Genomic DNA, 25,809 nt, shown 5'->3' with positions numbered 1-25,809 from the left:
CCTACCTCTCTTACTCCTCCTTTTCAGTTTCCTCTGTGTCCACCTCCTCAATGAGGATGTGTTTCAAAGATTTTGTCCCTGGCCCTCTTTTCTCCTCACTTTAAATATGGTTTTTTAAAATTCAACAAATATTTATGGAGGACCTGCTATGTGCCAGGCAAGGGGATCTAATCTCACTACCTCCATGTGGATGACTTCTAACTAGATACCTGTAGCTTCAGCCACACTCCTGAGCTCCAGAGCCACATTTCTAACTGCCCATAAAACAGCCTCACCCAGAGGCCCTCAAGGCATCACGAACTCAGCATATTATTTCTCTACGTCCATCCTCCACCTATGTGTCTGCTCCCGTTGTCCCTGTTTCTTCTAATGCATTGCTCTTGTTCCAGGAACCAAAGCTAAAGTCTTAAGGATCATGATTGCCTTTGTTCTCTCCCTCATTTCCCTATACCATTCTTTTGTAATGCTTCACCAATTCTGCCTCTAAGGTACGTGTATCTACCTCCTGTTCATTGTCAGTTCAAGTTATCATTCCTTTTCTCTTGACTGAGAGTAGTCTCTTAACTGGTCAGTTGCTTCCAGTCTTTTCCCAGACTATTGAATACTGCTATAAAATTACTGTTCCTTCTTTCTGTTTCAACTGATCAATCAAAATATACTCATCCCATCTCCTATTTCTGCAAGAACCTACTCTGTGTATGAATTGTTAATGGATTAATAAATGAATCTTTGTAAGTGGGTCAGTTCAGGGTTTTTCAACCTTGGCAATATTGACATTTTGGTCTGGATAATTCTTTGTCCAGGGGCTGTCCTGTGCATTGTAAGATGTTTTGCAACATCACTGACTTCTACCCTCTAAATGCCATGGGCACCACTCCTACTACCTGTTGTGACAACCCAAAATGCCTCAGAACATCATCAAATATCCCTCAGGAGGGCAACATAGCTCATCTCCCACATTGAGAACCAAAGGTTTACCTTATGAATTCCTCCTTACAAAGAGCAAAACCTTAATCCAATGAAAATGCATACATATCTAGAAAACCCCAAAGGAGTTACTTTAGCAGTAGAAACTTAAAAAGGGTGGATATTCTGGACTCTTCCAAGCCTACCATACAGGCAGCTATCTTCCTGATCCTGCCCTTTAATGAGTTATTTGTGTTTAGCCTGGGGATGTAGGAGAGGGGAAATTAGATAGAGGATGGATATGGTGGGGTGAGTATAGGGTAGCAGTCAGCTCATACCTTCCCTGGGTTCATATAAATCATGATCCCTCCCCAGTGCCCTTTGGTCTTGTGTCCTGGTAACCACAGTGGGTCCTTTTAGGTTTCAGAGTCAGAACAGTGTGTCAGCCCCATTCTCCAGCTGATGATTGCATGGTTTAATTACCATCTTGGGGTTAATTCCTTTGAACATTTTGTTCAGCTCTCAAGAGCATACTGCCTTCTGAAAGTCTAACTAATTATTTTTGCAATTACATGGCATGTATCTAAATGCTGGCAAAGAAAACACTTATTGTCAACATTTGATCCTACTTGAATGTAACTGCTAGCAAATGCAGGCATTAATATATGAACACATGTATTTTGGAAAATTCATTTTGCACATGTAAATGTAAATCATCCTTCCATAGCAATGTCAGAGATGACGGGAAAGGTGTTGAAATGGGTTGGGCTAAGAGGGTGCTTTTTAGGCCCTTTTATATCGAGATAATATGGTTAAGCATTGGGACTCAGGAGTCAGGAGTGGGCTTTAATTTTTTGCTTATTCATTCATTAAATAAATTTCAGGTTCCTAGTGTGTGGCAGTGTCTGGGTGCTGAAATATGGTGGTGAGCAAAACAGACAAGATCTCTGCCTTCATGGTGCTTACAGTCTAGTACTGGCAGTAAATATGATAAATATGAATCAAATAATCATACCAATGTGTGATTATCACGTTCTAACTATGAAGAGGAGAATGTGTAGGATGCTGTGACTTCATGATAAGGTGGTTTTAATTTAGATTAGGCGAGGGAAAGGTTATCTGTGGACAAAGCATTTGAACTGACACCTGATGGTAGAAGAGCACCCTATGCAAAGAGACTAGCATGTGACAAGGCCCTGAAATGCATTTGATGCATTTGAGGCACTGAAAGAAGACTAGCCTGGCTGGAACATGGCCAGTGAGGAAGAGGATAATGCAAGATGAATCTGGTAGAGGAGGCAGGAACCAACCGTGGAGGACCTTGTTAGATGTTGGTAAGGAATTTGTATTTTTATGCCAAGGACTATGGGAGGAAATATTAGAATAATTTTGATCATGGGTATAGCATAAACTGATTTATATTTTTAAAAGACTTTTCTTGCTGCTGTATGAAGAGTAGATTTAAGGGAACATCAACGAAAGTAGGGAACACCTTTGAAATGTTATTACTATAGTCTAGGTGAGAGACAATAGTGGTTTGAATTGTGTTGTGGCACTGAAGGTAAAGAGTTTTGGAGTTTTTTTTTAAGGTCAAGTTATTGGTTAAATAGACTTGGGCTAGTTACTTAGATGCTCCAAGCTTCATTTCCATATCTATAACAATTGGTATAATAGTACCTACTCCATAGTATTATTGTATGGATTAAATGAATATGTGTAAAGTGCTTATGACTTTCATATAGTCTGTGCTCAATTGATAAGTGATATATGTTATTTATATTATTTTAAAAATTATTTCTCAGTGTGTTTGCACTGAGATGGGTTTTTATACAGTTCAGCCCCTAATTGGCTATATGGCCTTGGGCCGGTCACTTCCCTGGGCTTCAGGTCTGTCATTTGTAACCCAGCAATGCTAACACCTGCTCTGCCCACCTCACAGGTTCGTGCAGAGAATAAATGGAAGTAATAGCTAAATTTCTCCTTTTAAAAATTACAAAAGTCCCTGAGTATCAACGAGTAAGTAGTATTGGTACTTGGCTTCCAGTAATCATCATCCACATAACAAATCAATCCACAGAATTGTCATTCTTTACAGCCTGTCTCTGTCATCCACATATCTCCATCAATCATCTAAAGTAGTCAGGGGCTTGTCTTGACTTGCAACTCATTTTACATGGGGTTTAGCAGGACTCTTAATTGAAAAAATAATTGATCCAGTAATCCAGTCACAGTCAATGAAACAATTTTTAAAGCTGTGCAGGAAAGTGATGAACTCTTATGATGTCTTTGGATCAGCCCTAAGGTTTGTCATGGACAGATAAGAGCTACAAGTTTGATATCACATCATATAGTATTTGAAAGCCATTTTCTTTGATTTTGCAGCCCATGCTGAGCAGGGAGAGGGTGAGATGGGTCCCCAAACAAAAATTATTCTCAAAAATGAACTAATAATTGTCTGTTTTATTTTCTGTAGGCTTAAAATATTTCATAATTAAAGCCAAAACCATATATAAGTAATAAAATCTTTAGATCCATCATCAGTGAAGAAGACATGCCTTTATTTCCCACTTTGTTTGGATTCCTTAGCATCACATTCTTAATGTTGTAATGGCCTCAGTCACCTCCTCCATCTTCCTAAAAAATGCAACAATCCCCTCTATAGCTTAATTGGCAGGTGGGTCCATCCCCTCTTGAATACTTCTGATGATAGTGAACTCACTACTCTTCAAAACAGTGCATTCTACTTTGGGATGGCTCTAATTATTAGAAATTTCTTAATATATTGACTGCAAATCTACCTCCTTGTAACTTTCACCACCTGAGGATTATTTTTTTTTTGTCTGAAGTATGCAGAAACAATCTACTTCATCTTCAAATGACAGGCTTTCAAACATCTGACAATATGCATCCCACCTGTCTATGACTTCTTTTTTTCAGCCTATCGCCAACTGTTCTTCAGAGATCCCAGGCTCTTCACCACTCTGGCCATCCTTCTCTGGATGTGTTCCAGTTTGTCAAATGTCACCCTTAAAGTTTGGCGTCCAGGATTGAGCACCACACTGTGAGTAAGGTTGAACCCCTCCAGAAGACAGGGAACTGATACCCCTCCCCACCCCCCAATTCTGGACTAGAAAACACATATCTGTCAGTGCTGCTGAGTATGGCATGGCTTTTTAAAAAATAAAACAAAACAAAATAAAACAAAACAAAACCACAACAACAAACAAACAGCTCACCATAGATTTCCATGGAAACCACTCCTACTTTGTGGTCTTGAAATTATATCCCAGGTATATTAAGAAACTTCTGCCAAACCAGGCTTCCCCCAACCTTGGATATGTGCTGTTGATTTTTTGTACCTAAATATAGACTTTTGCTTTTTAAAAACGTCCTAATGGTTTTGACTCGGCCTCTAGGGATCATTTTTAATCTTGATTTGTTTAACAAGTTTATTAGATGTCGCTCCCAGTTATGCATCATCTGCAATTTGGTCAGTCTGCTTCGGGTAGTATAATCCAAGTTATTGACAAAAATGCTGAAGAGGACAGGGCCAAGGACAAAATTATTGGGCATGCTACTTTATTCTTCACCCCTATACCTTTCAGGATGACAATAACTAGATAATAAATAGTCTGGCTAAAGTTCTTCAGTATGCTCCAAATATATTATATCTTTAACACATTCACAGTTTAGGCAATATGAATGATTCTTAACACTGACTTTGGTTCTTCACACACATTCACAGGCCTAAATCTTGGGTAAAAAATAACTGGAACAATTTTCTTCTCTCCTGGGTTTTATCATCTCTGACAATGTATCTTTACCATTTATCATCAAGTTTTATGAAAAGGAAGTAAAAAAAAAGAAAAGGATGCTGAGAGGAGAGAGGATGATCAAACAGAGAAGTACCTCTTTGGTGAAGAATGAGCCACCAGAAGAATTGGGAAACTCCTGTTTTCTACAGAATAACTCAAGCAGTGTGTTATTACCTAAGATCAAAATGCTGATTCATTGCTGTTTGTTGTTAGGAAGCAAATGGCCTACCCATTTTACAGGTGGAAAAATTGAATTAATATCCGACCCTAGGGTTCATGGTCTTCAGCATCCATATCTGCTAGAAGACTTTAAAGCAATTGTAAGCAGCATTATGAAATTTCCCAAATGCAATCCTGATGGACAGCAACTCTTGAAAAGCCATCTTCACAATACCCAGGATTGGTGTACTCAAAACAGTTCACCTTTTTGCTGCATTAAAAATCCATACAACCTCAGTTCCTTCAAATATGTCTCAATAGCCTGAAGAGCAAAAAAACCTATTTTCCATCAAGGAAAAAAAAAGGCAAGTTAAAGTAAAAGGCATTTCTTCTAACTTGAATTCAACCAGTTGGATTTTTAAAAGTAATTGCCCAATTGTGGTTTGGGAGGTTGTTCTGGCTCTGTGTAAAACTTTGTGCCAAGGAGGTCCACGCTGAGATGTCCATCTGACAAGCATAGGGTGTACATTCAGGTAAACCTCAGTGGCCCTTGCAGGATGTTTCAGGGTTGCACTGCTCTCTATTTGAAAGCTGCTTTGATTGGGAACAGATGGTCTAGCTCGAATCTAAGAACAAAGCCCTCTGTAACCAGCTCCCACAAATCCCCTACACCCCTTTGTCCTAAAAGAAGAAGGACAACCCTTTGAAGACAGGCATTTTAGGTCTTGGGGCTAATCTAGAAAAAGATCCAGCTTTTTAACAAGGGCACCAGTGAGAGAAAGGTACTTGCTCAAAATGTGTGTCTCATGTCTGTTAACTGTCTAGACCTGTCTTGTCTAGCTTGATAGCCACTAGCCACATGTGACTACACTTTTCTCAGTTACACTAGTCATATTTCAAGTGCTCCATAGCCACGTGCAGCTAGTGGACAGTGCAACATTTAATTGTCCATTATCACAGACAATGCTAGGTGAGTAGGACCTGTTAAAGCTGCCTCCTGTGCCTACCCACCTAAATGTTTTAGATTCTAATCCAACCAGTATTTATTAGTTACTAACTGTTTTAGGCATTGTACTAGCAACTTTCATACTTTTTTTGGAGGGGAGGAGGGCATTGTTTAATGACTAATGGAAACTTCCTATTTGTAGGCAGAGTAGATAGTGGCATTGTAGTGTGGTTTGAGGGTCCCTAGAAAGATGTCCCATCTTCAGTTTCTCTTCTCCATTGACTACCACAAGGTTTGAAACATCCACCTTTTTTTGGCTAGCATGGCAAAATTCCCTATTAAATTACAAATGTGGTCTGGAAGGGAAACATGCGGTCAGTATTTCTCATGACTACTTCAGTATGGATTGGTTTGTCAGATTAGTTCTGACGAGAACCAGGCACTGAGGAAACAGGACACAGGTCAGATAAAATTTTGAGGGCCGTTAGTGACAGTCAGGGGAGATCTGAGTCTTTTAGTTGTCCTCTAGGAGAATGACTCTCCAGTTGGGGATACCTCTGCATGGGGACCTTTTGGCATTTGAACGCAGAGACAAAGGGGAGGGATAAAGTTGCTAACAACAAACCCTGTCAACACCGCCATTGGCCAAGCATACATTCTGATATTCACTCTGTGTTTTGATCAGATGTGTATGTTCAATCAGCCTCTAATGTATGTGTATCAATTTGGTAGATATTTTAAATTAAACATTTATTGAACAGCATCAAGTACTGTGCCAGATGCTGGAGATATACAGAGTTCTACTCTCAAGTTCCCTTTCATATGACCTCCTGCTAGGGAACTCATAACTGGTCCAGTGACAGCATGACCACACCTTTCCTATCCATTTATCTTTTCTCCCTGAATGTTGCCTAGAACCCACCTTCATCACTTTTATCCCAGTGCCTGTTTTTTCAACCTCCATTCTGATTTGTTCCAGGCCAGAGTCTATGATCGATAAGAGAAAAAAAAAGAATAAAGGAAAACTAATCTTTCTTCCCTTTTCCTACAATGTTTGCAAATTATGCAGGGTACAACCCATTAGTGGCTTATGAAATCAATGTAGTGAGTCATGACCTAGCATTAAAAATAAATGAAACAGCCTAGAAAAATGCCAAGGTGCATCTTTGTAGTAAAGGTACGTATTGTTTCATTGTTTCATGAAACATATGTTTTGGGTTTTAAATACATGCATATGTGTTATGGGTCATAAAATAAAATGTATTTCTTTACTACCTTATGCCACTGTAGTTCCATGCCCTGTCCCAAGCCTAGTACTGGTTTGATCTACAACATTTGTGTCCTCACTGTTTATCACTTCCTGCAGAGGACCCATCTCATTCTTTTTCCTGTTCTCACAATCCATCCCTCCTCCCTAGGCCCTCTGAGCCTCCATCTGAACTCATCCCCACCACCCAGCTGGAGTCACATTGAATTGCCAACACCTGGGGATGGAAGCCGATGGGATTTCTGCTCCCACTGTCTCAGATGGGAGTGCTTAGGGAACATGTGTTACTAAACTTTTGAGTTGGGAAGGTGAACGCATCTTCCCACAGAAACATGAGCATGCAATAGAGTTAGGTTCAGTGCTGTAAAACCGTTCAGTTGTACCCTGGGTCTTATGTGCTTTAACAAGCAGCTCTGGTATTTAAGGCCACCTGTAGGCCAGCCAGATTACACATCTTTTAGAACTCAATCCATTTGCAAGGTGGGAAGAGAAACCACTGGTGCAGAACATCATTCAAATTAATTCCTACTTTAGCCTTTTGCAGCAACACGGAACAGCTGAGTCCTTTTGCATGGACCTTGCAGATGCTCCTTCAGTGGCTTGAAAGTAAAACTGTGTCTCCCAAAGTACCTAACTTGCTCCATGGGGTGGAATCTGACTAAAAATAGCTAGAAATAGCTACAATTAAGTAAACACATGCAACTCTTAGAATGTAGTTTCATCTGCAGACGGAATAAGTAGCCCCTCTAGCACTTTGCTGCTCAGTCATGTATTAACTTGTAACTTTTATGTGCTACTGATGAATACATCTGACCACATCAGAGTGGTCCATTTGCTCCAAGAGAAAGAGGATTCGGGCTCTGTAATTCTCTTTGTGTGATGTCACGCAAAATTAAAGGCTTTGTATTTTCAGGTAACAATGGTATTGCCTGAGAGAAGCTGTATACTCAGTTATAAAACACTCAAGTAAGTCCTCAGAGGTTGGCCAAGGACATGTGAGTGAGGTAACTGAGCACACTCTGTCTTATTTTAGATATTGGAACGCAGTGACTGGGCCCTAAGCTCTCCATTGCCTTTCAGATATAGTCCAAACTCTTCAGTCTGGAATTTACATTAAGAAAACATGAAGCACAGAATCTGTACATAATAGGTGTTCAACAAACAGTAGGTATTTGTTTTCTACCCCATGGCTCTCTATATTTAGGACTTAGGATCTAACTAAAATTGTCTTCCACAGGTCTCCTGTAGGAATTTTCTGCCCTAGACTAGTGGTCTTTCTATGCCTCAGATACTTCTTATTCATTCCTGCTACTGAGCATTTTCTCATGCTGTGTCCCCATCCTGGAATGCCATTCTCTAAATCTCTGCCATTCCAATTCTTGCCTGCCTTTCAAAACCTGGCTGATACTCCCTGCTCTGTGGAGCATTTGGTGCCTGCCTCATCCCCCAAGAAATCTATTATTACTGTGACTGCCAGCAGCACTTGGCCTGAAGCCCCCATTTTGGCATTTGATCATAGCTTGCCTGGACTGAGTTGTGGCCTGCTTGCCTCATGTGTGTAAATGTGAACTTCATCAATGACTGAGAAGCTTTTGAAGGCCCAGGAAACAGGTGTTCTGTTACTTTTGTGTCAGACTCAGTATAATTTGGCTCATACTGTAAGCATTTAGCGAGCTGATGACATAAATTTGTTCTGAGATGAGGAATTCTCTAGTTCTATTTCGTAAGTCACTGCTGATAATCTGTGACCTTCATTTCACCTTTTTTTTTAGCTCTATCTCCTCTCTAGCATACTGGCAATAAAAGTATTTGCATACCCTAAAGAGATGTTTTGTGGATTAGCCATAATGAGTATAAAACATGTAAAAATACGAAGATCTGTGGGAACCCTATTATTATAGGAATAATAATAATTACAGTTGTTGTACTTGGTTAAGTGCTCCAAAATTCATATAGAAGATGCCTTCTCTGGGGGGAAAAGCAGCCAACTGTACCACCAATTAGTTAATTATGAGTATTTAATTTTATTTTATTGCTTGTGATTTTTGTTTCTGTGCACAACTGGGACCTAGTTGCCTCTTTGCCTTTTAAATGGAATCACTGATGAAGTTGGTTAAGATTAATCTTCAGTATGGGGCCTAGGCTCCACAAAGCAATGCTGCAGACCCAGTGACTCTATGACTGTCTTGCTCTCTTTCACCCTTAAAGCTCCTACTTTGGCTACTTTTCTTTCTCTTGTTGGTTTTCATCTGTGTTTAAGAAAGAGTCCCAGCTCCAGATTGGTGTGGTATGGGTGGCACTAAACATAAGTGCCAGCCAGGCAGCAATGATATTTGAGGGTAAACGAAGTGCAGAGTCCTTTGGCAGGTGCCTGGGAGAGACATAAAGGAAATAAAACGTGTATTTCTTTAGTTATGAAAGGGTCTTTTGGTCTGTTGAGCCCGGAGAAAACTAAGAGAGGCCCCTGGAAAGGCTGAAGAAACGTCCTGTGTGGAAAGCAGATGAACTTAATTTATTCAGGATGACTTAATGTACTCCTGGTTGGAGGCAAAGAGATGACCTCTAGATAGTTTCACCTTCACTAAGAATCTTCAACTGTAAGACATTTTAATGAAGGTATTTTTTGAAACTCGTTCTGTGTCCCTCTTTTTCATTTTTTTTTTTTAATGTATCTGGCCACCGGAATCACTCTACACAATGGATTTCTATAAAGTGTTCTGAGATTTCCAAGTCAAAATTCTTGTGTGCATGATTAATATTTTCTCTGAGTAAAGCATGTGAATATATTTGGTGCAAAAAATAATTGAACAATAACACAATTTCCCTTCTCTTTCATCTATCCAGTTCATACAGAAAAGTATTATCAATGTGCTGTCACTCATTAAACAAATATTTCTGTGTCTGGCCATCAAAATTAGAAATCAGAAAGAAGAATGTGTTTTTTTTAATGTATTGTGTTTCATGTTCATCAGTTGCCAAGCACCAACTCTCCCGTTTTTCTGGAGGTTGGATTGCTGTATGCTTATGTATTATGAGGTTTTTATTGTGCTTTTTCTCTGAAGATCTTAACATGAGCAGCTTTGGAAGGATTACAGGGAATATATTTTAAAAGACATTTTGAGTTCCACGAAGCATTCCTTTTCATGAGTACTACATTTACTTTCAAAGTTTTGTGTATCCCTCCAAAAGTGGACAAAGTAAATAGAGAGTCACTTCCTTTCTTACCCAGTCCTGCCCTGCCCCTCCCCTTTTCTGAGGATACTACAAAGTCAAGCAGCCTGTGCCTTTGAGGTACTGTGGATCCAGTTGGTGATCTCTGGCTTTCAGGAGAAGAAGTGATTGTTACAGGATCTGCTACACAATGAGGAGGTGTTATTGGGAATTGCATTATTTTCCTACATTGTTTTTGTACACTGTTCCAAATTTTAGATTTTATTACTTTTGCCTTTTCCCTCTTTTTTTTTATTGCTTCCAATTTCTGATTATGTATTCAGCACACACTACAGGGTACCAATTTAATTTTATTGAACCATTTAAAGGGCAAATAAACCTTTGTTTTTATAAAGAGAAGATAAAGGACCAATTATCCTGGCCCTCAATGCATATGTGCTATTTGAGCTTACGATCCAGTTATTCGTCTTTAGAAGAGATTTTGTCATTTGCACCCTCTTGCCTTATTGCCTGATATATTGTTGCTATGACATAACACATTTACCCATGGATACCTTAGCTCTTAAAGAACAGAGTTATTATTTTATTATATCTCCTTATATATGTGTTAAGGACCCATTAAGAGTGGGCCAACCGCTGAGGTGGAATATTCCACTCCCCTGAAATGGTCTGATCTCAATATGTTGCCACAAGGTATAAAATGATCAGATACATGTTGTAGTTGGATTGCCACCCAGTCAATTTCAGGGAGCCAGGATGGCATTGCTTACTGCCTGCTTGGAATGTAATTTCCTCTAAGAAGCTCACTCTGAACTGGCCCATCCTGAAGATAGTTATTGCCTCTACATATCACTTTGCCACTCTACTTATAATAATACCATCAGTATTCCAGAGTCATAAACATTTGTGAAATGGATTCCAAGAGAGAAAGTACAAATCTTTTCAGGGTAGAAGCTTTAGAGAGTGGCATAAGGACCAAAAGGGTGTTTGTCATGGGGATGGCTCTGTTGCTGTGTGTGGAAGGGATGGATTCATAGATAATGATGGAAGTGGCTGGAAATTCTGTGGCCTGCTTAAGCCAGAGTCATAGGGCCAGTTTGTAAGGGGGTCAGTTAGCCTTCCACTACTGGGGCAGATCCCTGTCAACCAGGTGGTAGCATCTGGGAAGGTCATAGTTCATAAGAAGGAGAGGCCACAGAAGGGAATAGCTCCAGGCAAGCCTAAGGCAACAGGCTTCATTTTCTTCTACAAGGTTAATATTATTTTTCCAGGACTCCATGGTGTTACCCATGCAAATGGAAGGAACAATGTTTTGAGGCCATAAAACAGGGACCATTATTTTCTTAATTTTACTGTAGCATTTCCTTTCAGAAAAGGAAAACATGAAAAAAAGGTAAGTTTTTAGGAATTATACATAGGAGTCCTTCTAGGTCCTATCAACAAGCTAACAGCTTTATATAGCTAATACTTCTCCTCAAATACTTACTATTCATGGCTTCAACCTCTGATCATCAAATTCCCAGGCAGAAGACATCTTGCTCATTCTTTCATTTCTAGATCTTAAGCATAAAATGTCTTAGGTAGGAATAAAGGCAGAAATACTATGTATACCTCTTCAAAAGAGGTAAGAAATCATTGAATTCTGCATATTTGGTAACTGCAGGCAGATCTTAGTAACTAAAAGCCTAGCAAATTCTCATGGCACCAGACCTATTTGCAGAACTTTGACAAGGGGCTGTAAGTCATTAGGGGTGGGGCAGCAATAGATCTGTGGTACCAGTGTGTTAGTCATGAAGGCTTGAGAGCTAGAAGAGACCTGGGAGATAAACAAGAAACTGAGGCTCAGAGAGGGTAAGTGATTTTTTTCCATTTTACAGATAAGGAAACTGAGGTTCAGAGAAGTAACCCAACTTGTTCAACATAGCTAGCATATGTCAGAGCTAGGATGTGAACATGGAATATCTGAAATGCACTAATGAGGACTAAGCAGGGCCTGTGGCATTCGGAAGGCTGTTCAGTAAGGGGTATCCCTAGGCTTAAGTGTTATGTCAGGAAGAGTTGCAAACCTTGGGAAGCCTGGGAATGGTAGTGAAGACAAGTAGTTAGGAGCACACTGTGGTTCCCAGATAAGAGATAAGAACCTAAATAGATGGAGGCTGAGGGATAGAGACCTTGGAGGCATTTCATCCAGTGGCTAAGTAGACTCTAGAAGAAGACTGCTTTGATTGGACTCCAACTCCACCAAATATTTACCAAGCACTTGCTCTATGCCAATTATTGTTCTCGGTGGTGGGAATATGACAGTGAGTAAGAAGACACAAATCTTTGCCTTCATTGATTATTTCAAGAAAATAAGCTCACTCACTTTGGGGGTAGATTTATTATCTGTGTGGTTTTGGTCAAATTGTTTAATTTTTCAAAGGCTCAGCTTTCTCACCTGCAAAATGCCAAGAATAGAACCCATGCCAAAGGACTGTCATGAAAGTAAAATAATATAATGCATATAAAACAAATAGTGCCCATAACAGGATAGCTTTCATTATTATGCTGCTTGTGACTCATCATAGTTTAATATTAACAGTTAATTTTTTTAATTTCTAATTTTTGTGGGTACATAGTAGGTATATATATTTATAAAGTACGTGAGATGTTTTGGTGCAGGCATAGCAGTTAACTTTTTAAATTTATTTCTTATCATGGTAAAATATATTTAACATAAAATTTACCATCTTAACAATTTTACGTATACAGTTCAGTGGTATTAAATACATTCATAAAGTTGTGCAGCCATCACCACCATCTCCGTAACTCTTTTCATCTTGTAAAACTGAAACTCTGTACCCACTAAATAATAACTCCCCATTTCCCTCTTCCCTTATCCCCTGGCAACCACCATTCTGCTTTCTTTTTAACAGTTAATTTTAACCTGAGTTGAAAGTGGGGGACTAGATGGTAGGCACATTCCAGGTGCCATAACAGAAATGACCTCTGAGAGCCTCAGAATTACCCCTTTTCATTTGGGATGCAGGACTCCAAACCCCTTGTGGAGTTAGCAACTGCTACATAGTTTTAGTTGCTTGCCCTTGTGGACAGGGTACTTCTAGTGAGAGCTGGAAGGGGTTAAGGTCTGGTTGTTGCCTGCTGACCTACTGCTATGTCATCTTCTGCATACATATGTGAAAATTCCATTACTTCTTATTTCTACTTGAAAGTGAGGACTTATTTTCAGTAAGCATCATTTAACATCTACTGCTTTGAATATAGGCTTATTTTATTTCCAGGTGCCATGCAAAAGGATGAGGATGTGACCTTTCCAGAAGCATAAAACACTGATTATCTGCCTTGGTGTATGGCATTGGTTAGTAAAAATAACTGTTTAATCAGTGAAGTGATTTAATAAGTATTTTAATAGGTCCAGATGGCTATGATGCCTCCTTCCTACTACACACCCATACTTCTGAAAATATATCTCTATATACTGTAGATCGCTGTTTTATAAAAAGGGTGAGACGTCTGGATTTTGAGAGGGGCAGATGGGGGAGCTGGGATAGTTTTGGACTGCAAGCACCTTTCCATATGCCATCTAGAATGTTCTCTTCCCTCAGACCTCCACTTCCAACTACATGGTCAATTTTTACCTGGCTAGGGAACTTGCCCTTATCTTTCATTTCTTAGCCTAAGCCATGCCATCCCTTACTCCCTCAAAAAGGCTAGATTACTTTCATTCCATCCTCTACTTAATCTTTACAGCATGGATTACATTTATAAATAATTAATTTGCCATTTGTTTAATATCTGCTTCCTCCAGCTTTATAAGGACAGGGATAGGGACCAATCGTAGCACAATGACTGGCACATAGTGGTTGCTCAAGAAATTTAGTTGACCGACTGACCAGATTCATGAATAAATAGCATTCAAGAGCTCTGGATTCTAGTCCCAGAGCTCATTTTCTAGATGTGCGGCCATAGGTGTGTCCCTGGGCCTCTTTGAGCTTTAATTTCCTCACCTGAAAAATGAGAATCCAATGATCTCTAAGGTTCTTTCTGGCTTGAATGTTTTATGATTCCTTTGAAGTCGGGTTTATCGTTCTCACCAGTGGGAGAAAATATTTCTGTTAAACTGCCTGGGATTTTCTGCCTTTTATTTATTTCCAGAGATCTCCAGGGTGCTAATGTTTTGAATAGTCACAGTAAAAACAGGTTTAATTAGTGGATTCCTCATCAAAGGCTATTTCCTGGTACCAGACCGTGTAGGTTTGTTTCTGAAAAGACTAGCAATTTGCTCACTGCAGAATTCACTTCTCTTATCACTTGTTCTTTGTTTAGCTTTTACCTTTAAGAGTAGGCTTTTTCACATGGATATCTTCATCCTCTTTGTGTTTGAGATAAAGAGAAGTATTTAAACCAGGGAGAGACGTCTCTGATTATAAGTGGTTATAAGCAAACAGCTGTTGGCTTTGTCTGCTGTTTTATTTCCTTTGTCAACCAAATAAGTAGCTCTAAGTTTTGTTAGGGCCCCAGCTGGATGATAGAACTAGGAGTTCCAATGATGTGTCATAGCCATCTTTGTATCCACAGCAGTCAGCACAGTGCCAGGTTCAGAGTAGGTGTTCAAAATATCTACAGAATTGAATAAAGTGACAGCTGGGAAGCCCTACACATAGGTTGAGTAGGCAATTTTCTCTTTTTGTTATTTTTATAATTTATACCCAGTTGATTTTCTAGAATGATCTGAAGCAGAGCTGCCCACATGATATGGTTTGAGGACTACCAAAATGCTCCTATATGCCCATAAATATCTCCCCCACCAGCCTACTCAGGTGTCAGAAATCTCTACCAAACCATTTTAGGTTGACATGGAGGGTTCATGAAAGTGAAAATATATGTGGATCACCTGAGATAAACAAGGTATTAGTGATCGTTAACACTTCTGAATAAATTAGTTTTTGTATTAACTAAGGCCAAGGTCCTGGGGGCATATGACACAAGATGGGTTAGTTTCCATTAGGACTTTAAGGGTGAATTAGGAAAATTGCAGAACATGGGGTACTATTTAGAAGATTAGGGAGTATTGCAATAAGCTTTCCTCAAGTAACTAATGTTCAACATGGGAGCATTGGCCTCCTCCACTTCGTGATGGCACCAAAAGTCCAATGAGGTACTAAAAACCATCTGGAACTACTCCACAGTGACAACAGACCTTGCACACCTCAGAAGAAAGTGCTGAAAAGTGGTCCTTCAGTAGAGGAACTGGGAATTCTTTTTTTCTTCCTCCTCCCCAAATCATGCATTTAGCAAAGACTCCTAAGTTTTAGCATGCTGACTTCCCCCTCAGCATTTGATTAGTGATCCAGATCCCCTGGGAAGCTTTAGTCCTTCTGGCACACATATTTTGCATCATGATAATCATAATAATGAACACCTTTTGAGGAACACTCACTATTTGTCAGATACCATGCTAGGCCTCTACATATGTTATCTCAATTCAGGTCCATATAAGTACAAGAGCTATTATCTTTCTGTTAAGCTACAATGACTTATCTCACTAAGCCAATGACCCTCTCTTCTATCTCCAGCAGAGCATCACAGACTGGGGATTTCTGTGATGAACCAATCAGCAGTTATGGATACAAATGTGTGCCCCACAATGTGTTAGGTGCTATGGAAGAAAAAGAAAGAGAAAATATAATCCCAGACAAGCACCTTGCTCTGAAAGCTGGCCTCTGTTTTTACTCCCAGTTTCTTTTCCCTAGGTCTTGGACAGAGGCACAGATCCCCTAAATAATCCAGGAGATGGCTGCTGAGGGAACGAGCACATTGCATTTCCTAACATGATGTGCTATCTGGTAGGGAATAGGCTATTCAGATTAATTTACAGTTTTGTTTAATAAATAATTTTTATAGATACAAAAAAGCAAAAAAAGTAACTGTGATGAAATTCATGACAGACTGGCAATAGAAGGAACAGACTATGGTTTTTCTCTAATAAATCAGAAAGTACCTCCAAGTCTTTTACAGTTTCACGGTCATCATGATGAATGTTATATACAGTGAGAAGTAATATGGTATAATGGAAAGCACATCAATCTGGGGAGTCAGGACCTGAATTGTAGACCTGCAATGCACCCTTGAGTACACTGCTGGCCTCAGTTTTTCTATCTGCAAGAGTAGGGGTCAATGTCTAATCTGTAAGAAATCTTCCGGCTCTCAGATTTTTTTCCACTGCCAATTCCTGCTACCCATCATGGAGATGGGCACGATCTGGTGTGTTGAACACAGAGTTTCTAGCATTTCAACCCCAGCGAGAAATTCCTCCTTTTGAATTAAGCAAGTGTGTTGCCTGTGGCAATCAGGCTTCAATAAAGCGTGGCCCCATTTTGTAATATGTGTTATATAATTAAATCAACTGATTTACTGACCTCTGTGTTGAACTGCCCTCCTATGGCAACCCTAACTTCACTCCATCAGCAATATACTGATTTTCATAGGTCTCTGGCAATCCAAGGGATCCCCCACCTTCTCCAACCCTACTAGGACAACTGCCTGATTTGTGCCTTTGGACTGGATATGTTTTATGTGTCCTTGCCTAGTTACTGAGGGGTGAGGGATGAGAGTGAATGATTTTGGATATGGTGAGGCATTGTCATAAAACCTCAGATTTAGACATCTGCTTTTGAATGGATCCTTAATACCAGAAGGCATCACTGAGGCCAGGCAGTACACTCAATGGTGTTATTGAATCTTTCTATAAAAAATATTCATTTTTGGCTCACCTGCTAAGTGCTTCTACCCTAAAAAAATGTCCATACTAGCCCCTAACCAAATTCGCAACCACCAGAGTTATAGTCTCATGTCATTGGACCCATTAGTTGGCCTTGAGCTTACCCCCAGCCTGGCAGTGCTTCAAGCCACTGGTTGGAAATGCTCCCTTGGATCTTTGAGGCCCTCCCAGAAACCCTGGAACTCAGTAAATGTATAATAATACAATTTACTATAATGTCTTTTCTCTTTTCAAGCAACCCAGCTGTCTGTGATCTCTAGGTCCCAGCTCACTATATTTGATGGAGGGTGTATTTACAGTGAACAGCTGAAATGGCCCCATAAAATGTCTCCTTCATATCCTTTTTATCCTTTCATTGACAAGCATAGGGCAGCTCCATGGAGTTGGCTGCTGAGAGGCTAACAATGTTGGCGCAACAAGTCCATGCTATTACGATAATTTCCATTCTTCCTTTCTGCTGCTCTGTTATTGTTATTTAAGCATTTTTTCCTAAGAGTTGCCAGAAGGACAGGAGGAGCTGAAAGGCTCCAGTCTCCAAAATGGAAGCGAAGGCTTAACACGGAAAGTTCAAACAGCCTTGAATGCAAGTCCTTCCTCACACCCTAGGTCTTTACCTCTTACTCATTGGCAAGTTGGCTTCAGTGACTTCACTAGAACTCAGAATGTCTCTCCAACTCATGTTCTATTGTCTGAAAAGGATGGTGACAGAGCAGGGAAGATACTACAGAAGAAACTACACATCTCAATACTTGAACTATTCAACTCAACCTAAGACAAGAGAATAGTAGAAAAGATGGTAATACTCTGCCTCCCAAATTAGTTTGCCTCATGGTAGAGAAAAATATTCACCCATGCTACACTCAGAAAATAATGACAAAAAGTCAGACAATTGGGCAATTGTGTTCCACTTTGTGACTTGTACACATCTGATTTTCAATTCTAGGCCTGCTTTCTCTTGTTCCCCTCCCCTTCCCCCACAGAATATCTGTGTCTGGCAGATAGTAGGTGCTCAATAAGTAATTGCTGACTGACTTATCAACACTTGCTGGCCACCCTTCTTGCTGGCAAGTGCTCTGAAGTCCACTCATCAGCTAGGTAACATTTCTTGGATGCTGTCTTTTTATCCATCCATCCATTCATTCGTCCATTCATTTATTCCTTTATTAAATATTTGCTTTATTGAATAGCTCCACTGTTAGGTACTGTAATAAGTGCTGAGGAGACAAAGGAAAATAAGGCCTCAAGTAACTCATAGTCTATGTCACAAGGATCACAGCAGATAGAAAAAAAGGTACCATGCATAAATTGTCAAAGAACTCATGATCCAGTTAAGGAAGTAACCTTAAGTGACATTAAATGATTCAAGAACAACATAAAATATTATAAAATGCAGTATTAAATCATTTAGCCTAGATAAGTGGGAAAAGGGAAAAAGAGGAGGAGGAATCTGTGTGGTTTTCAAGAGGTGCAGAAGATAATGAAGGAATATAAATTTGAGAGACAAAGGTAACAAGGCCATAAACCTCAGCTTTTATTAGTGGTCATATTAGATTTTCGTGAACATACAAAACATAATCTAAAATAAATATTATTCTAAGTGTGTGTGTGTATTGGAGGGGGTCAGGGAGAGGGACAGGAAGCTAGAAGTTGCAGATAAATATTACTGAACATGCCCCAAAGCTTCAGCTCCTTTCTGTTCTCATGGATAATCAATGATGAACTGCATACAAGAATGACTATTTGCATATTGTATTGTTCTTTTGAAATCTCAATGGGGTTTTTAAAGTCTCTCTCTGCCTTTTAATTATTATGTTTTAATATCATGAAGATTGAGGTTATTATCATTAGGGAATCCTCACCTTTCCTCATATAATTTTTCTTTCAGAGTCCAAATTGAAGTAAAAAGTGCTGGTCTCAGCCTTTGTCCAGGATTATTATGGGCATGTTTGGTCAGCTCATCAGCTGATCCCCAACACCTTATCGTAGAATGGGTGGTATGTATGCACAGAAATGAAACTTTTTGTAGACTTGGGCCATTATACCATCTGTACTCTCAGAGTGTCTTTCTCTGAAAAACTGAAGCAATGGGAAACTTTCTAGGCAGTTATACATTTAGAATCACAGTTTTTCTGAAGTTCTTAAAATCTCCTTGGTATACCTGGGAATACTTGGGAGCAAGCTTTGAAAAAATGTAGGCCAATGAGAAAGAATGGAAAAATATACAAAAATAATTCTAGTTTTATGTGGGTAGTGGAGTTTTAGATAAACCCATATCCTCATTTTCCAAACTTCTTGAACTGTTGTTATGTTGTTTTTTATGATAATGATGATGAAGATGATGGTGATGATGATGCTAATGATGGTGATGATAACACTTCAAATGTCTGGTTTCCACATCCATTTACAATGGACTTGACATGTATGTTTTATTTTGGGCCTTTTCTAGGACCAAGTAAAGGAAAAAGACTATAAGTGTTTGTCTTGTCTCAGCAAATAGGGTTTCTATTTAAAGCATGGCAGAATTTGGCTTTTTAAAGGGATATTTCTTATCAAGGGATATTAAACAGATTACTGTGGGTTCACTGTGAAAGATAATCTTTTGGGATTTCATGAATGAAATAGAGGTCAAGAGATTAAGAAGAATTATAGGTGAAAGGGACCAAGAGTCAGAAATACCATTAATTTAAATTTTATATTGGTAGAGGGGGTTTAGAATGAATTAAGCCTCTAAGGTCCCAACTTCAAGACATGTTGCTGAACCTGACTCAGAGAATGGTATTTTCAAGCATGCTGGGCTCAATTACCATTACACCTTAAAAGTTATTGCTTGGTGTATTAAATAATTATCACATTAATTGATTCATCCTATTTGTGAAATGTTAGAGTAGAAAAAAAGTCTTTGGATTTATCTTGGAAAGGAAGTTTGAAATGTACACTTCAAAACATGTAGTTCCTGGGACTAAAGATGTAATAGGTTCAGGTTCAAAAGATAAACTGCACAGACAAAGCTTTTGGTTATCCCAATTGCTACTGTAATTATTACTTGACTACAGAGAAATAAATTCATTATGTAACCCATTTTTTATGCCTCTGACAGGAATTCCAAGATTCAATAAAGGAAGAAACTGTCCATTTAGCAAATGTTCTTAGGTCTTCCATGCTATGATTAATTTATTCAGTAATCATTTATTGGGTACTCGCTCCGTGCAAGACCATATGCCAGGCACAGAAAAATAGTCATAGCTAACATTTGTTGAGTGTTTATTATGTGTCAGGCACTATAGGTGTTTTGTATGCATTATCTCATTTACTTGCAACACTATTGTTATTGTTTTGCAGATGAGAACATTGAAGCTTAGAGACACCGGTTGACTTGCCCCAAATTACATACCTAGTAAGTGCCAGAGCTGGTACTAAAATCCAAGTCTCTGATTCCAGAACCAGACATATTAAACATGAAGTCTGTGGCAGAATCCCCATCTTTAAAGAGGTTTCACGCACCTAATTGTAAAACAATGTGCATAAGTGCTACAGTTATGGTTTGCAGAAAGTTCAGAGGAAACCACGATTAATTCTGCCTGGAGATTTTACACAGGAGGTGACATTTTAGTTGGTCAAGGTGACATTTTAAAACTATGATTTGGATATGGGAAGGGGGAATTCTTCCAGCTACAAGAAATAGTGTGAAAGAAAGCATTGAGCCATGAGCTAGCCCGGCATGTTTAAGGATTTACATTTAAATATTTAAATGATTTAAAATTTAAATATTTAACTGCTTTAAATAATTTAGATAATTTAAATATGTAAGATAGGTGGGATTGAGGTGTTGGGAAGTAGTAGGGATGACAGGGGAGATATCAGAAGTAAAACTAGAAAGGTAAAACAGGACTGGCTTGTTAGATACCTTGAATGTTATGGGATAATGAGTAGATTTATTTTATAAGTAGAAAAAAGCCCCGATAAAAGTTTTTAAACAGAGTGGAAATGTCAGATATATATCTATGTTTTCAAGAGAAAACTCTGGAAAAAAACGAGGAGAATAGGTTAGAGATGAGAAAAAGAATGCCAGTTGGGAGACCAGTTAGAAAGTTATTGTAGCGACTGAAATAATAGAAGAGAAGGAGCAGACTGGGAATGGGGATAAGTGTCTGTTGGGTTGAAGATGTCCAAAAAGAGCGTTGACTATATGAGCTTAGAGTTTGGAAGGATTTTGGGACAAGAGATAAAGACTTAGAATCATGTAAGTCATAGCATGGAAGCTTTTGCAAAAGTGAGAAAAGGGCTAAGAAAAATCTCCATCATTTAAGAGCTGGATATGGGAAGACTAGCTTAAGAAAGCAACTGAAAATAAAAGTACAGAAATAGGAGGAGAATCTAGAGAGAGACCCCATCACAGAAGTCAGAGAAGGAAAGGATGGTCAACAGTATCAAATAGTTATAGATGTGCCAGTCAGAATGAGAACTGAAAACTAACCACAGGACTTGGCTGTTAGGAGATCACTGGTGTCTGAATGAGAGCAGTTGCAGCAGAGTGGTGAATATGGGAGGTAAATCTGAAGAACAAATGGGCAAGGTGAGATGATTACTCTTCCCACACATTTGGCAATGAAAAGAATAATGACCTCATGTACTTTTGGCAATTTGACCAAGGGTCTACAACAAAGCACCTCTGCACTTTCCCATCCTTGAAGAGCACCTTAGCTGTGTATCACTAAAAGGCCATGCCAGATTCTATTTTTTCAAATTTGTATTTTAGGATCTTTGTAGTATGGGAATTTTTCATTTAGACTCCTGCCCTGTGCTCCCTTCCACCCTTATCCTGCCCCACATTTCCAGCCCTTCTCATCTAACCACAGATGAGGCAAACATTTGTGTTGAAGTGCTTCTAGAAAACCATCATATGACCTTGAGAAACTCTCTGTTCCCTGTGTAATGTTCACACCGTTCTTCAGAAAGAGGGCCTTCTAGCAGCCCTACATTCTGAAAAAGCATTGCTGATAGAATGCTAGTGGTTAAAAAGGCTCATGTCTTTTTGAAAATAGCCCAGACTATTTTAATTTGACATTTCTAAATCCTTGGCATGTCTGCTCTCAGTAAGCCCAGAGCACAGGAATGTTTTGACAGGTTAAGAAAACGTTAGGTTGTCACTATATTGGTCTTTCTGGCTGATGAGGCATTGGTTCTTGCTGTAGCATTCAAAGGCCATAATGCAGTTTGTATGTTAAATTGATACCTTATAAAACTCCTGCGTATCTGTTGGCTTATTATTTAAAGGAAAGGAAGAAGAAATCAATTCCTTAAGTGTCAAGGACATTCTTGACAAAGGGCCGAATGGAATAGGCAGGCTCAGTGCCATGAAAGAGTCCAGTGAAATAGAAAGTAGTGCATTGTCCTTACGGATTCCTTCCAGATCAGTGGGAACACTCCAGCTGTTCATGCTTGCTTGTTGGGCTTTCCCGCCTGGAAGCAGGGCAGGCCAGATAGTGCTTTGGGGACACATCGTGGTGCCAGGGGAGCTTCTTTGGTGGCAAAATGACCCACATAGCATTAAAAGTAGATCTCAATAGTTGTGCTTAGGAGCCCCAAGAGTACACAAAGTTTTAAGTCAATAGGTAAATGGAGGGAAACAAGATGTTAGGCTGTTGAGCAACTTGATATAGATCTCGTGGTGTGCAGTATTAGAGAGGAAAGTGGAGAACAGTCAGAACAACCCATGACATCAACAGACACCCAGCTATAGTCAGCATATTGATTTTCAGAGTAAGAAGGGACCTCAAGGATCATCTAGCCCAGTGGTTTTCAACCCTAGCAACATTTCAGATTCACTGGGGAGTTTTTAAAAAACACTGATGCTCAGGTCTCACCCAGTATCAACTAAACCAGAAACCCTGGGAACAGAATCTAGCATCAGTTTTTGTTAAAGCTTTCCCAGGTAATTCTCATGAAAACTTAGGGAGGAGAACTTCTGCTCTAGCTAAATACGATTAATTTTAAAAATGGTGAAGCTGAGATGTTTTCTTCTAGTTCCTCTGGTTGGTGGTATTAGATATGAGACTAGAACGAATGTTACTAGGTTAGTGATTGAGAAAGAGGAGAGTTTCTCAGAAGCCAACTATTACCTTCATCTCAATTTCTTATATTTTTTGCATTATAATCTCTGATTAAATTTCACAAGGATTCTAATAACATGAAGACATTAAGGACATACTGTTATACACATGGTGGGAGAAACAGAGTTCATTGATTCATAAAATATTTTGAGTGTCTGCTATGTGTTAAGTACTGTGCTGGATGCTATGGGGGCTATTTGGATGGAATGTTTTAGAGAGAGTCTTGGCCTTCAGGGATCTCTGTGCCTGGGAGGCTGAGGAAAGAAGAGAGACAAGATAAAGCCATGGATGAGTTTGATCTCCTGGGAAGGTAGGTTAGCTTTGTTAATAGAGAACTGCTCTGCTTCTTGGTCACATAGTCTCCCCTTATTGACCAATGAAATGGTGATATTTAGCATTTGTAGGAATGCTTACAGATGTTCATCATTTATGACTAGTGGTGTGGTCATTGTGAGGGGCGCTTAAGTTAGAAAGGGCTTGGAGCAATGTTTCACTATCACCCAAGGGTTTGGCACCATTTTTGGGAGAAAGAGAATGTGATTTGGGGAAGTGGTGCATTTTCTTGGAAAAAACATGGATTTTTATAGTATAAAAAGGTCATATATACTTTGTTTACACAAAGTATGTATAGGAAGGTCATATATACTTTTGTTTGACTCCCAGTGTCCCTTGTTATGAGCTGCATGCCTGAAGAAACAACTTTCTGGGCCCCATTTTCTTTGTGTAAGATGAGGATAAAAGTGTTAACAGCCACCCTCTCTCTATCCCCTCCCCTCAAGCATCTCATCCCTCCTTTGGCCAAGGTTGTAAGGAACAGAGTTCAGCTTCGGCTGTAGCCTGTCATTGGTCAGGGAGGAAACTACAGGTCTGCAATATCCTGGATAGTCTCACACATGCTTGCATTTGAAAATTTATATAAATCAGCCTTCCTTTCTTTGTTGCCTCATTTTATATCTCCACCTGGGTTTCCACCCAGTACCTTTCTTAAGGCATTCTGTGTGCCCCTCTGGGAGGCCCCACAGTGCTGCTACCTTAAGCCCAATATAAGCTGTATTTCTACCTCCTTGTACTATGTCATTTTAACGTGAGGAGTTGTTTAGACTTATTGTCTACCTTTTAAACACCTATGCATTCCTTCCAGGGTAATAATCCTTACCCTACATGTTTTCCAAGCTTTCACAAACCATATTTTGCTTCTGTGATATAAATTATGGAATGATTCACACGTTTACTTTCAATTTTATCTTAGAAATGCAAGTTGATGCTAAACTGATCTGTTGTGTCATTTGTAGTTTGGATTCCATTTTAGTGTGTGTGTGCAAGCTTGTTATTTAAGGGGGATCAAATTTACTTACTTCAAAAATAAAGTTAAAATTTGAATGCACTGACATATTTTATTGTCATTTTTATCCCATATCATTTAACATGCCACAACTAATATCTACTCCATAGAATTGTTGTCAGGATCAACAAAACTATGAGTGTGTAAGTGCCAGGCACATAGTAGGTGCTTGATAAGTGCTATAAGTGCTGGTTTCCATGTACTCATTGAGCATCTCTGAGACAGTCATATTTCCTCATGTATTTGGAGGGTACTGGAATGTTCGAATAGTCTTATGTATAATACTGTTTTCTTCCTATGCCAGCCCATGAAGTAGGAAGTAGTGTCATCCCTATTTGATAAAAAGAGGAAAATGAAACAACAGAATGTGTCTCCCTGAATGTTACCAAGAGAGTTAGCAGAGTCAAGAGTAGAATTCAGACCTTCCAAATTCAGACATGGGGCTCTTTCTGCTTCCCTTTAGCACAAGGAGGAATCCATTTATATTAGTGCAAGGTTGACAGTAGCCAAGGTGCATTGGGAGAAAGAGTGAGCTTTTACCTGAGGTAGAATGAAGGAGTTATTTCTTAAGATACACATAAGGACAGCAAGCAGAAACTCATTGTATAATTTACCTGTATCACAAGGCGACCACAAATTTGTGTCTCCAGGACTGCTGATTAACTATCACCATTCTTCCTTACCTATGTTCATTAACACCCTTCAGAGGCAATTCTTCAAGCTATCTATATATGAAGACTATAAATGGTTTGACCAGGCCTTTCTCATAGGTTGAGGCAGCTCAAGCTAATCCTGTTGTGGGTTGTTTGTTCCCCCTTTCTTTTCACTCCCTGTTCAGTAGCTGACTCACCATATGACCTTGAATAGAGGCTTTTGTTCTAAACTCAGCACTGGAAGCATGAGGCTAAGAATACAGACCCACTCCCAGGGCACTCAGGTGGACTAGATAATTTCTGCTTTTCAGATGTAAAGGATTTTCTAGTGAGTCCCATGAGGCTGAGGATCCCCTGAGGTGATGTGACAGGGGGCTGGCCCATCATGCCCATAGCCTGTGTCTGCTGTTCACATCCAAATCTAGGCTGCCTGCCAAGTGCTATTTTGGAAACAGGGCTCATGTCGTCCATCTTTTGAAGGTCGTGGACGTTCTGCTCCATGGGAATGCATGGGGCAGAGTGAACTGACACAAACCTCAGTGTCACTATTACAGTTTTAAGCAAAGTAATTATGGTCCACATTCATGGCCACACCTAGTGCCTGCTACTCAGTAGCTTTGAAATTGTGGATAATATTCACATAGGAAAGCACAGGAAAC

General features: G+C 39.4%; 1 protein-coding gene across 2 annotated transcripts in view, besides 1 other annotated feature; it reads right to left on the bottom strand.

Moving 5' to 3' along the window:
* GRIA3 (glutamate ionotropic receptor AMPA type subunit 3) overlaps nt 1–25,809 on the bottom strand; it is a 306,638-nt gene that overhangs the window by 245,333 nt on the left and 35,496 nt on the right. The window lies entirely within an intron of this gene.
* Nucleotides 14,006–14,945: an enhancer, noted in NCBI's record as "OCT4-NANOG hESC enhancer chrX:122364489-122365428 (GRCh37/hg19 assembly coordinates)". NCBI's record gives its function as "activates a minimal SCP1, AML or CMV promoter by ChIP-STARR-seq in naive H9 embryonic stem cells {active_cell/tissue: H9 hESC(naive)}" and the evidence as "EXISTENCE:reporter gene assay evidence [ECO:0000049][PMID:30033119]".

This window comes from Homo sapiens, chromosome X (genome assembly GCF_000001405.40).
Source record: "Homo sapiens chromosome X, GRCh38.p14 Primary Assembly".
Lineage (NCBI taxonomy): Eukaryota > Metazoa > Chordata > Mammalia > Primates > Hominidae > Homo > Homo sapiens.
This window is presented reverse-complemented; position numbering and strand designations above follow the sequence as displayed.